This window comes from Homo sapiens, chromosome 3, assembly GCF_000001405.40.
Source record: "Homo sapiens chromosome 3, GRCh38.p14 Primary Assembly".
Taxonomy (NCBI): Eukaryota; Metazoa; Chordata; class Mammalia; order Primates; family Hominidae; genus Homo; species Homo sapiens.
This window is the reverse complement of record NC_000003.12, coordinates 83,769,619-83,783,063: the sequence shown is the minus strand read 5'-3', so window position 1 is coordinate 83,783,063 and position 13,445 is coordinate 83,769,619. Positions and strand designations below refer to the sequence as shown.

The 13,445-nt window shown below is 33.4% G+C and overlaps 1 annotated feature.

Moving 5' to 3' along the window:
* Positions 12,912-13,206: a silencer, noted in NCBI's record as "tiled region #1315; HepG2 Repressive non-DNase unmatched - State 24:Quies, and K562 Repressive non-DNase unmatched - State 24:Quies". NCBI's record gives its function as "represses a minimal TATA promoter and a strong SV40 promoter by Sharpr-MPRA in HepG2 and K562 cells {active_cell/tissue: HepG2 | K562}" and the evidence as "EXISTENCE:reporter gene assay evidence [ECO:0000049][PMID:27701403]".

Below are 13,445 nucleotides of genomic sequence, written 5' to 3'. Positions count from 1 at the left end.
AACTTGTCCCATTTGAGATAAATGCGTGGTATTCATATAAATTATTTACTTGGCCCAGATATTTTGAATTGAATGATATAAAACTACACTCATGTTCTTATATATTCAATATTTTTAAAAATCAAATACTTTATGTGCAACTGTGTGATAGATGCCAGTTTCTTTGAAAAACCATTGACTTCAAAGCTGTCAGAGAGATTGTTACACAAATGTGAAAACAAAACTACTGTTTATATAAAACAATGCATTCATTAAAGTTAGCATAAGATGGAGAAATAAAAAAAAACATAGCTAATAAATGCTATGAAATTTTAAGTTTATAGTGATAACTATTATCAATATGGTTGCACCTAGCTGTAAAGGTCAGGAAATATGTGTGGAGGTTTTGGGGATTGAAGAAGAATATTCTGTGATTTTCCAGATGGTCTTGTGCCACCAGTTACACATCGCCCTAGCAAAGAGTTTAAATTTGGCAAAGATGAGTATGCACATCGCCATAATTTATAGGACTTTCTAAGTGATTTAAACTCTCTTATTTGTAGAGTTGTGGATGGCTGCTTAAATGAGATAACGATAAACTTAGGAGTTTGGTTATCTCTCAAATCTGTCTAGGAAAAAATCAACAAACACTTTCTAGGTCATATGAAATATTGAAGTTTAAAATAAGAACATACAATAATGCGGTTAAACACTAGAATAAATGAATATACTCTGATGGATAGGTACAGAAGTCACGGGAAAAATTAGGAAATAATTGATAGTATTATAGATTAAATTAGTATCTGATAAAGGTGTTGGTAGTTGTAAAGGAAAATAAGTGAAAGATTAAAAGAATTTTCATAAGATTACATTTCAGGATTTTATTACATATGATGCTACTTGGCCTTTACTATCAGGCACAGTTTTCTCTAGTAATAGTTTTATGAAAGATTTGTAAATTGTTTCAAATGACAAACCCACATGCTAGGCTGGTTCAGTGGTGTTTTATAGAAGTTGGGGTGTAATGACAAACATACCTTTACTTTTTTCATGAGTCAGATGTTGTTTTCAAACCAGTCATCTCCAGACATCAGAAAGGCATACAAATTACTATTAATATTTTAAAAAATCAGTAGATAGATTTTTCTCAGATCTCAGAGAGTAGAGATAATAAAAATCAATAATAGTTTTTAGTTATCTATAAAAATTTGGCTACTTTCTACTACACACTATAAATTACATGAATAATTTTAATAACAGGAAGAATGACTATTTTTCTTTTGTAAGATGAACTTATTAAATCAATTATGCAGATGTTGTGTGTACTGGAAAAGCTGATGATCACTGGAACAGAATACATTTCATATGTCTAAACTTAAATAGTCTTTAGTTGAGTGCACACAGACAATGCTAATTATAAGATAAACAATCTTCAAATGCTTTAACACGTCGTAAACTGGTCTTTCCTGTTGTTAAGTATGAAGTAGGCAATTAAGGTGATTCCGCCCCTGAGAAACTTCATAATCATAGTTATAAAACAAAACAAAAGGTGCCCATTTTTTCTGACATATTTTTTTACAATCTTAACTCTGAATTAATAAGATAGAAGAATTAATTACTTATAGATTGAATTTGAGTCCATAGAAAGAGTTAGTAGGTTTTAATAAATATGATGAGCTGTGGACATCCTAAATAAATGGGAAAAAAAGGTAAATGTAAAATTTATTGGTGCATTTTAAGACATTTCAGTCCAGTCCTATGCAAAGCAACTAAACATCTTTTTCTTTCATTTTATAGCTGAACAAAGCATAGAAAAACAAAACATCAGGGAAATTCCTATATTACGTTGATCTTTGCAGAATTAATGTATATTTCATCAAAACATATATGTATTTGTATCTAGATGTTGTATATGTAGAAGTAAATATTCTAGGTGTTGGGAATATAGGCATGAACAAAACAGATGTTCTTATTCTGAATAAGCTCACATTCTAGACAGGGTTATTTAACTACAAAGCTCTTTATCTTGCCAGAGCAAATAGGAAAGCTGTCGCCCACTCCAATTTGACAGAAAGGGTTACTTCTAACTGAAGCCAACATTTGGAATGAATTCCTCTTGGGGCAAAAGGGATGAGAAATATGTTTCTGTGTAACAATATTAAACATCTTTCCTGACTGCAGCAACTTGGGATATGCAGTTGTATAAGAATGTTATATCTTTTCCTTATGTCATCTATATAATTCTCTAACTTTTGGTTCCCAGACCTCTGTGGTCCAGGTGCAGAGATTTTACACTGGAGTATACTCATTCACTCATTAGTGATTACTACATTAGCTTCTTAAGTCTTTTAACAAGAATTTATGGAGTGACTAACAGGTGCCAATGAGAGCTGGTCAACAGGAAATCATTCATTTGTGAAACCTGGTGTGAAAGAAAGGTGGAGTGTTGTCTGCAGCAAGACAAATTGGTGTTCAAACCTCAGATCCCCAAGCTGTTATTTAAAGCTAAGGGTAAATTACCTGGCATTTCTGTGTTCTCAAATATGTTCTCACATATTCACAGGATTATTAAAAGCCTTAAATGATAAAATGTCTGAAAAGTATATAACTGATTTCTCAGTATATGGCACGTGTTAAGGAAGCATTGAAACAATCCACTTAAATAAGATATATTAACAAAGAGACAACCTGATATCACAAAAAAAAAGCACTAAGAAAGACCTGGATTTAATTTCAGACCCTGCTGCTTATTTCTGATGTAACCTTGGTCATGTCACTTAAAATTTCTAGCCCCTATTCCTCATCTGTTAAATAGAAAGTATAACAGTCATACAAACTCAAATAGTTATTGAAAGAAAACATAAGAAAAGGATGATTAAAATAATCTACAAATAATAAAATGTAATACAATTTTAAAAGTGATATATTCTGTTGGCTTTTTTCTCATAATGCAGTATTTAGCGGGAAATATTTCAAAATTAAATCTACCTGTATTTTTCTCATGATATTTTCTCCCCTTTATTTTTTCTTCCCATTACCTTTGTCTTAATTCACATTCTTACTTTCGAATTCTTTATGTGTCTTTTATTTTTACTGCTTTATAATCTCTTTCATTTTAAACGGAAACATGCCTTCTAGACTCCTCCGTTCTTTCAAGGAAAAAACTCACTTGAACAACCCATTTACAACTATACAGACCTAATAAATATATCGACATTCAAACGTCCAATAAATATACCAAAATTCTTCCCTTTCTCTCACAGAAAATGTATGCTTCTCATATAGAGAACAGAAGCCATTTACGACATTGATAATAATAGGTAACATTTTTCAAGCTCTTATTATGTACTAAGCATAATGCTAACTGCCTCTATATGTACAAGTCTAATTTAACTCTCATAACAGCCTTGTGAGATTGAACTTTAGTTAGGTTAAATAATTTGTATAATAATCAAGCCAGAAAGAGTTCAATACTGGAGATTCCAGAGTAGAATGCTTGAATATCAAGTAATCTTTACTTTTCAATGGAGAAAATTCCAAAATCATAGCAATGCCTTTTTTTGGAAAACAAAATTACAATAAAATAAGATATTTCAATTGTATTTATCCTTTAAACATGTCATTTTCCCCAACGCATAACATGTATGTATATTTCTACATTTTAAATTTCTTCCTTATTTTTACTCTTTAATTTCCTTTATTCTCTTTTAACCACGATGTTAGTTTTTTCTAAAAATAACTTTGCCTTTGTGACTACCACTATGTAAGAGATTTTACTGTTTATCAGTATGCTATAACAGTTAACCCTAAAAGCACTTTTTATTTGTATTTTTAATATAAGTAAAAGTGGTTTGGAATAAAATAACATACAAATAAAGTTCTATCCAGAGAACAAATGATTAGGGAATGCTTCGTAAATATTTATTAAATCAAAATATTGTGTTAAGTATTAGGTAATATTAAGCCATTTTTATGGAAGTGCCAGCTACCATGTAAAACTACTTTATTAATATACATTGTAAAACTCTCTTTTAATTTTTAGTCACAAAACCTTTGATTTAAAGGTTTCATTAAAAAGTTCTCTGCACAGCAAAGTGTATGACACCCAATTTATCTACCTAGAGAAGATCGGTAGGTGTGATTGGAAACCCTGGCTTTAGGCAGTCTCCTGGAAATACAGCCTGGTAAGCTACACCTCTGACTTCTCACGTTGTTATTATATAATTGCTATTATTTTTTTCTAAAGAAGACTGAAATTGGCTGTTCTTTACCTTGAGACAAAGCATTTTAGATGGAAACAATATTATTTTTTTCTGTCAGAAAACATTTTGTATAAGCATATTGAGTATTCTTCATTAAATCAGCACAAACAGCTAGAAGAGCTGAATCAAACATCGCTAAATCTAGATTTTATTAGAAATAGGGCATGCTCCCATAGGTGGAAATTTTATGTAGGCTTATATAAGGGAGGGCAAATTTTGATCCCACCAAATTAAAATTACACAATACTTATATTTTTAATATATGAAGCATGTAATTTTCTAAGTTCTGGGTTATTATTGGTAATAGAACAGTGACTAATTTGATTGTTTTTTTTTTGTTTTTTTTAAATACTCTGTGTGTTTGTGTATGTGTGTGTTTTTGTGTGTGTATAATAGGAACACTTACATATTACAATATCATACAAACAGGCAGTTCACACACAAAAATACTAACAGTGAACATACAAAGGGGCCCAATTGTACTTATAGCAATGAAAATTGAAACTACAAGACACCTCTTACATAGATTGCCAAAAGTTAAATCATTTCTATAATCATTCTTATTGTTGAGAGTGTATGGAAAAAATGAACTTTCGTGCTTTTTATAGAAGGGTCTAAAATCTGAAGACATATTTTGAAGGGTAATTTGTCAGTATCTTGCAACTGTTAAAATATAAAAACCTTTGGTCCTAGCAGTAGTAGAAACTTATTTTTCAGATATACATCTAAAGGTATACTAGTAAAAATGTTTGTGTTTACATTATTCAAAATGCTAATATCAAAAGTAGAAAAATATAAATATTCATAAATGAGGAGCTCATTAAATACATTACAAAATTACAAAGTATATTAATCTTTGATCTTTAAAACAGGCTCATATTTCTAGTATTGGAAGATTCATACGGTATATAAAAGTTCATCAAAATACAGAAGTATAGAAATACTCTAATCAGTTTATGTTATGAAAAAAAGTGTGCAGATATTGTGAATGTTTTTAATGATGAGTGGAGGTTTCTGACATAGAAAAAGCCTTGAATTTAAAAAATACATTTTTGTTGTTGTTCTGTTTGTTTTACTATATTTGTTCATAAGCATAGAATATTGAAAAAATCAGCTTCTAAAATCAGCTCAAAGTTGATATGTAAGATTGCAAAGTAGAGATTTGAAGGAGTTTAACTTTTCATATCATACCATTTAGTATCCTCTTGCATGTATTATTTTTAAGTGAGCAAATATTATACTAATTTAAAGAATATGTGTAATTATTTCTAAATTATATCTGAAATGCATCAAATATAATCCTAATGAGCAAAATTGATAAATTATTTTTATTTTAAATTTATGTGTTGGAATAAACCATCAATTTCATGAGAGTCTCCAACATATTTATTAAAAATAATAAATGATTCTTAATTCTACTCTTACAAAGGAATCACTACAAGACTTTTAAAAAACACAGACTGTTGGTTAAACTCCAGCTATGGTATATGAACCTCTGAGCAAATGACCTGAGCATCTGTCTTTTTATCAAATTCTTAGAATTAATTTTGAGAAAGGATTTAAGGTGTGGTCAGCAGATTGTCATTTAAAATATCTTTGTAAGAGATATTTCAGTCTCTTTTCTAGCTCTGTGATTCTCAAACTACAGTGGTAGTTTATTTCATGTATAGAATCTATTTCCCAACTCTTCTATGTACTGATTTAATTGTTCTGTTATGGATCACTGGAATTTCTGTTTTTTACAAGTATGTAAAGTGTATAAATTGATTCTTAAGCAAAATATAATTTGAAATAGATCATCTAACTAAGAGTTAAATTACGAAATGTTTGCCAAAAAAATCAGTAGTATATTTGAGACTAGAACAACAAATTCTCATTGTATACAACTTTTACCTTACTCTCCATATATTTTGTCTCTTCTATTTGCTAAAGATATACCATAGTATGGAATAAAAATATATGAATGACTTTGACTTTTACTAAAGTTATGGAATAACTTATTTCAGCCACATAATAAAGGATGTTATCATAGGCTGAATAATAAATTATTTTGTCCCCTTTTCTGTATTTCAATTTAAGTTCTTGATAGAAGACAAGAGGAGTGAGCCCCAGCAGTATTGAGAAGGAACAAGACAATGTATTGCTGTATATTGGGAAGACACAAGACTATAGGTTGCCAAAACATATGCTATATATAATCCTATTAGTATCCTATCACCTAAAACTTTTCAAAATTGGCCAAATTATATTGACATTTTTCTTCATTATACATTGAGTGGCATGAGGATGGCAGATGGATACTGAGTTTCCTTTATCATGAGAGATGATTATGGCTAAAATATTAATATATTTTCTGCCACTATTTGTTTGCTTATGCAAATATATGTTATGACACATTTAAATATATGGCTAAATATTGACTGTTATATAAAATTACCAACACACATGATTCTATTTTTTTAAAGCAGTCGATATGAACAATTCATTTGTTTACAGTACTCTAATATTTAAACAAAGTGACAACACATTATTTAAAAATAAACATAGAAGATTACATGTATATATGATGGCAGATTATTCTTTTAGATGTGAGAAAAAAATTTAATCATTAAAGAAATGATAAAGTCAACACAAATCTCAGAAAATTATTCTGAAGTGATACAGACTCTGCTATTCAGGCAGATTGCAAGGAAAGTAAAAAACAATATTTTGTTTTGTTTCATTAAAAATGGCATTTTAAAATTTAGATTACAAAAGTTTTACCTGGTCATTAAAGAAATATACAGAATAGCCTATAAGAGTAAATAAAAAAAATACCACAGTCCTTTCACCCAGAGTTATTTTGGTGTAATTTTATTCACAATTGGGATCATACATTTTATTGCTTTTTGTTGTTAATACAAACATTACATATTCATTGTATAAAAATATAGAATATATAATTAGAAACATAATATAACATATCAAAGTTTCTTTGTTATAGCTATAAATACATTTATTACTGCTTATATGTCCTTTGGATATATATCCTTCTGAATCTTCCCTGTTTGTCTCTCTATCTTAATGAATAACATGAATAAGCCGGGAGAATTGCTTAAACCCAGGGGGCGGAGGTTGCTGTGAGCTGAAATTGGCGCCATTGCACTCCAGCTTGGGTGACAGAGTGGGACTCTATCTCAAACAAACAAACAAACAAACAAACAAACAAAACATTAATAACTCATTATTTTTATTTTTGTTTTTCCAAGACCCAGTCTTGCTTGGTCGCCCAGGCCAGAAGGCAGTGGCGTGATCTCGGCTCACTGCAAACTCCACCTCCCGGGTTCAAGCGATTCTCCTGCCTCAGCCTCCCCAGTAGCTGGGATTACAGGCATGCACCATCAAGCCTGGCTAATTTTTGTATTCTTAGTAGGGACGGGGTTTCACCATGTTGGCCAGGCTGGTCTCAAACTCTTGACATCGTGATCCTCCTGTCTCGGCCTCCCAAAGTGCTGGGATTACAGGCATGAGCCACCGTGCCTGGCAAAAACCTCGTTATTAAGAGAAGCCTAAATACATGAAGATTGTAATTTTAAAAGTAAAAAAGACAAATTTTATATTTGCATTCATAAAACATTTGGCAGCAAAATATATTACTTTTATTACATAATAAATATATGAACGGAATGAGCATAGTTGACAAAATTATATTTCATAGCTTCATTTTTTGCATCTGTTATGAAGCAAGATAAAGTTTACTTTTTACAGATGTTCTACAGTTTCTTACATGTACTTCAGTTTTGTATCTTACTCTCTTCTTTCACAGTTGGAAACAACCACAGCCTTAATTTGAGCACATAAACTCTTTCATATTTGTGTTGATACACAAAAGTACAATATGTTAATATGCAAACATAATCAGACTTTCTGTTACCAATAGTTCTGTTATAGTTTTAGTCACCCATATTAACTAGAAACATAGCCAAATGAACTAATCCCTATTGCACAGAGAAAATGAGGAGGTATTGAGTGTCAGCTATATATAACTATTTTAGCTGGCCTGGAAATCTCAAGCATGTATCATAAGACATCCTACAGTCACACACATGTTAATTTACACTTTAAAAGTGGCAGTATATTTAAGCAATTTTGTAACATGTAAAAATAAAAAATATAGATTTTAAGACTGAATTGTGATTAATATTTCAGTACTGGTTTATTATAAATTATGCAGGTATCCCAAATTAAGTCATTAACTAACACAATTTTTAATATTAGCTCAAGGCTTTAATTTTTTATTTTATTTTACTTTAAGTTCTGGAATACATGTGTAGAACGTGCAGGTTTGTTACATAGGTATACAATTGCCATAGTGGTTTCCTGTACCTATCAACCCGTCAATTAGGTTTTAAGCCCTGCATACATTAGGTATTTGTCCTAACGCTCTCCCTCCCCTTGTCCCTCACACCTCAAGAGGCCCTGGTGTGTGATGTTTCCCTCTCTGTGTTCATGTGTTCTCATCGTTGAACTCCCACTTATGAGTGAGAACATGTGGTGTTTGGTTTCCTGTTCCTGTGGTAGTTTGCTGAGAATGATGGTTTCCAGCTTCATCCACGTCCCTGCAAAGGACATGAACTCAGTCTTTTTTATGACTGTATAGTATTCCATGGTGTATATGTGCCACATTTTCTTTATCCAGTCTATCATTGATGTGGTTCCAAGTCATTGTTATTGTAAATAGTGCTGCAGTAAACATACGTGTGCATGTGTCTTTATAGTAGAATGATGTATAATCCTTTGGGTATATACCCAGTAACGTGATTGCCAGGTCAAATGGTATTTCTAGTTCTAGATCCTTGAGGAATTGCCACACTGTCTTCCACAATGCTTGAACTAATTTACACTCCCACCAACAGTGTAAAAGTGTTCCTGTTGCTCCACAGCCTCATCAGCATCTGTTATTTCCTGACTTTTTAAGGATCGCCATTCTAACTGGCATGAGATGGTATCTCATTGTGGTTTTCATTTGCATTTCTCTAATGACCAGTGATGATGTGCTTTTTTTCCCATATGTTTGTTGGCCACCTAAATGTCGTCGTTTGAGAAGTGTCTGCTCATATCCTTTGCTAGATCTTAGCAATTATGTTCAAATGACATGTTTCAAAACTTAATTATGATTCTTGTAAAAATGTTAGCCAGAATTATGATATGATGTAATTTAATACGTACTTTTATATTTTTCACAATCCCAGAATTTTATAGGAGTAATCTTAGCTTATCTGATCTGTGAACTAAGATATGAAGTTTAAGTTTAGAATAGTGATCTTCAATAGAAGGCAGATACATATCTCATGCAAATGAAGACAAACATGTTCACTTGTATTATATTTATACTTGATAAAAGTCAAAGAAAAGTAGCTTATTTTTAAAAATTATCAAACTAGATGGATTAATCAAAATTTTACCGTAATAACATATGCTTCAATTGTTATATAACAATGTTTCTGAGCTAGTATTTTCTGTATGATTTTTCCTTTTTCAAAAGGCTAGCACATTAACTTCAGTTTCTTTACTTTTTGGAAAACTGGGGAACTACTGATCCACATAAGTACTTATACATTTTTACAAACCAATTAAAAATAGTTATTGAACTTAAGATATTTTATAATCTAACTTATTAACTTGTAAAAAAAACCAAAGTATTCTTAAATGTCGCAGAAAAAGTAAAGAATTTTCTCAAATGTAGACATTCAAAGGTGTAGGAGATTACAGCTTCAGATTTCCAGTCTCAGCCATAGGTCAAAATAAACCCAGAATTTAAAAACAAAACAAAAGTTTGTCCAGATCTTAAAGATATGTTCTACTTTCTAGTGGTCATGAAATACATATTAAACGCCTTTGTGTTCATAAATATTCAAGCAAAAAAAAAGAAATTAACAAAAAGTGTTCTTTCTAACCTGTCACTGTATACCCAAATGTGATAACTACATGGCCACAAGATTCCTTGTTATTTTGTCACATATTAATAAAACCATAATTACTCTGCTTTTATGGAAAACCAGAACCCAAAATGAAATAACTGGAACAGAAGAGAGGGAGAAGGACAGGGGAGACTGATTGAGAAATAACTGTATAGGTTAAGTTCTGTTGCAGTACTTTGCTGCAAATTAATTTACACAGTTGTTCAGCAAAATTTCTCATAATTTATGAATGTCGTAACTTTAAACCCATTCAGCATTGTCTTCATTTTCCCAAGTCAGAGCTCTCTAAAAATGTTTTGAAAACTATAACCTCAGAATGCACTAGGAAGGTTTTTCTGTTTTCTGTCACTACCTGTTAGGGATTGAATCCTGTCACCTAAAAAGATGCTGAGGTCCTAACTTCCGGTGCCTGTGAATGTGACCTTACTTAGAAATGGAGTGCTTATAGAGGTAATTAAGATAATTATCTATTCCAATATGATCATGCTTTTATAAAAAGAAGGAATATAGACACGGAGAAAGACACAGAAGGAAAACATAAAAATACAGTTGGTCATCCACAAACCAAGGAAATAACTGAGGCTACCAGAAGTGAGGAGAGAGGCATCAAATAGATACGCCCTCACAGCTCTTTGAATAAACCAACCCTACCAACACCTTGATTTCAGACTTCTCACCTCCAGAACTATGAAAAATATATTTTTGTTCTTCTAAGCCATGAATTTTGTGGTATTTTGTTACAGTAGAACTAGGAAACAAAAACATCACCTATAGTTTTCATCATTTTCACAGAATGACAGCTGTGCTTACATCCATCTTTTTCTGCCTTGAAAATTTTGTAATATAAAGAAGTACAACCTCCAAATTGCTGTTGTATGAGACATGGAAAGAAGGAAGCACTGATTCTCTACCTGAAAAAAAATTACTGTTAGTAGATGTTTTGTTTGTTTTCTTTAGGCATTTAAAAGAGTGAATGGAAAAGATAATTCAACTTACAAATATCACATCCTAAATCAGACTACTGATATTTTAATTTATTTAACATAGAATGATGATGTATCAGAAAGACTTGCAAATTGTGGTCAGGTTGTCCAAACAGCATTGCTCTTCTAAGAGATGAATTATGATTTGATTTCATTTCTAATATAGCTGATAAATTTTGTTGTGGAAACAAATCTATTATTGGACTATGATGAATAACAGATTATTACAAAGCAGAATTGATACGCTTTGTCTCATATGTACCCTTGGAACATACCTTATAGGTTTCTGTGCCACTAAATGCTGCACAAAGTGCCTGCCTGTGGATCTTGGAATTGCTCGACACAAACAAACGTGTTAATTAGGCAGTCTCAATGCAACAACAAAAGCAAGTAATTATAACTGAATACAAAGTCAATGAAAGGCTCTTTTCTTGTTTTATACAATAATGCTACCTAAAAAATAAAATAGTGTCAAACACACAAATCTATTCTTTGATAATTATAAGGTATGAATCCAGCCTATGAATGTGAGAACATTCAATTGGAATGTAGTTGTCTGTACTGAAAACCACCACAATTTTATTTCCTTCTCCAGGGCGCAAAAAATGTCACCCTGATATACCACAAAGCAAAAGTTTATATTGTTTATACACTGATTATACTGCAGGATCTAAGTGATTCTTGTATAACTTATAGTACTTAAGGGACAAAAGAAAAACATTCCATGGAGCTAAGTACTCTCCAACTGGCTTGTAACATTTTTGATTATAAGTAGGCAATATATTTAGTATCGGAATTTACCAACAAATAATAACTACAAATAATAGGCATATTTTTCTTTTCTTAAATACAAAATATTATTTTAAGCTGAAAATATTGTTACAAGATCTTTGGGGTGTCATTTTTCTGGCCGGAAACCTCTGCGGCTGGTTGCACTTTTGCCTGAGTTCTTGTCCTGTTTCCAGGAAGAATGAGGTATGCAGATAAGTAGAAGGTGAACAAGGCTAACAGGAGCTTTGCTGAGTGTTACAACAGCTTAGAGGAGACCCACAGTGGGTAGCGCCTCTCTGTAGATGGGTCATCTCCTCCAGCGTTCAGCTCTCAGGAGAGAGGGTAGCTCCTCCCTGCAGCTGATCCTCCCATCATCTCCAGCTGCCAGCAGAACAGGGTAGCTCTTCTCCGCAGCTAGTCATCCTGTCCTCTCTCCATCCTCTCTGTCCTGCTCTGACCTTCCTCTCCCCTGTTTTGGCTGAGCCCTGGGCTTTTATGGACCTCAGAGGGGAGGAAGTGCATGCTGATTGCTCTGTGGGCAGGCATGGAAGAGGCACTACTAGTCCCCACTCTGGTCTTTGGGACTGGCAGCCTGGCCCCCAGCCTTCAGGCCCTATCTGACCTGAAGGTGGGGACTTACTGGGTCCCGCCCTCTTCCTCCCAGAAATCCGTATGCCTCCTGCTGCCATTCATGGCCTGGAAGCTTGGCCCCAACCCTTCTCTAAGATCTGAGCAGGTGCTGGGAGCAGAGAGAGGCCAGGAAGTGGGAGCGGACACCCCTGAGCCTGTAGGGATGGGGTGGGGCACTTTTCTGGGCCCCAAGGGTGCAGGCTGAACCAAGGAGGGCCTCCGCAGCTGTACCAGAAAGTTCCTGGCCCACTAATTCAAAAAAGCTGGTCCCTAGCTCCTGCCTACTCCCTGGAGCAGGAGGCCCGGGTCTGCAGCCGACCTGTGGCTGCACCTTCACGCAGGAGGGCAGAGATTCTGCCTGCTTCCGGCCTCTACAAGAGCACAGGGGAGCTGGGATCCACAGCTGCAGTTTGGGTGGCTGCAGCCCCACACTCCTGGGCGGGGCTTCTGTCTGGTCCATGGAGCAGGAGGCCTGATTCTGCAGCTGTGGTTTGGGCGGCTGCGGCAGCACCTGGGGATCTCTTGCCTTAACTCAGAAGGGGTGGGGTTCCCAAAGGCTCCGTGAAATGTAGCCCCAGCCACGGCCTCGCTGCTGCAACCAGTGTGATGGTAGCCGCGGAAGTAGACTGCCCGCCACTGCCATAAGTATTATCTGAAAATATTTTGAAGTGTTACTTAAAGTATAATAAATAAAAATATCTAAAAAAAATTAATGTTCACCAAAGTAACAGTGTCATTGTCATAAAATATGCATTTTTATAATTTGACCACTCCTATAATTCAACTCTACTTATAGGAATATGTCCTATGCTGTCTATATTTGATTATGATTATGTATTTGATTTTTAAAAAATTACTGA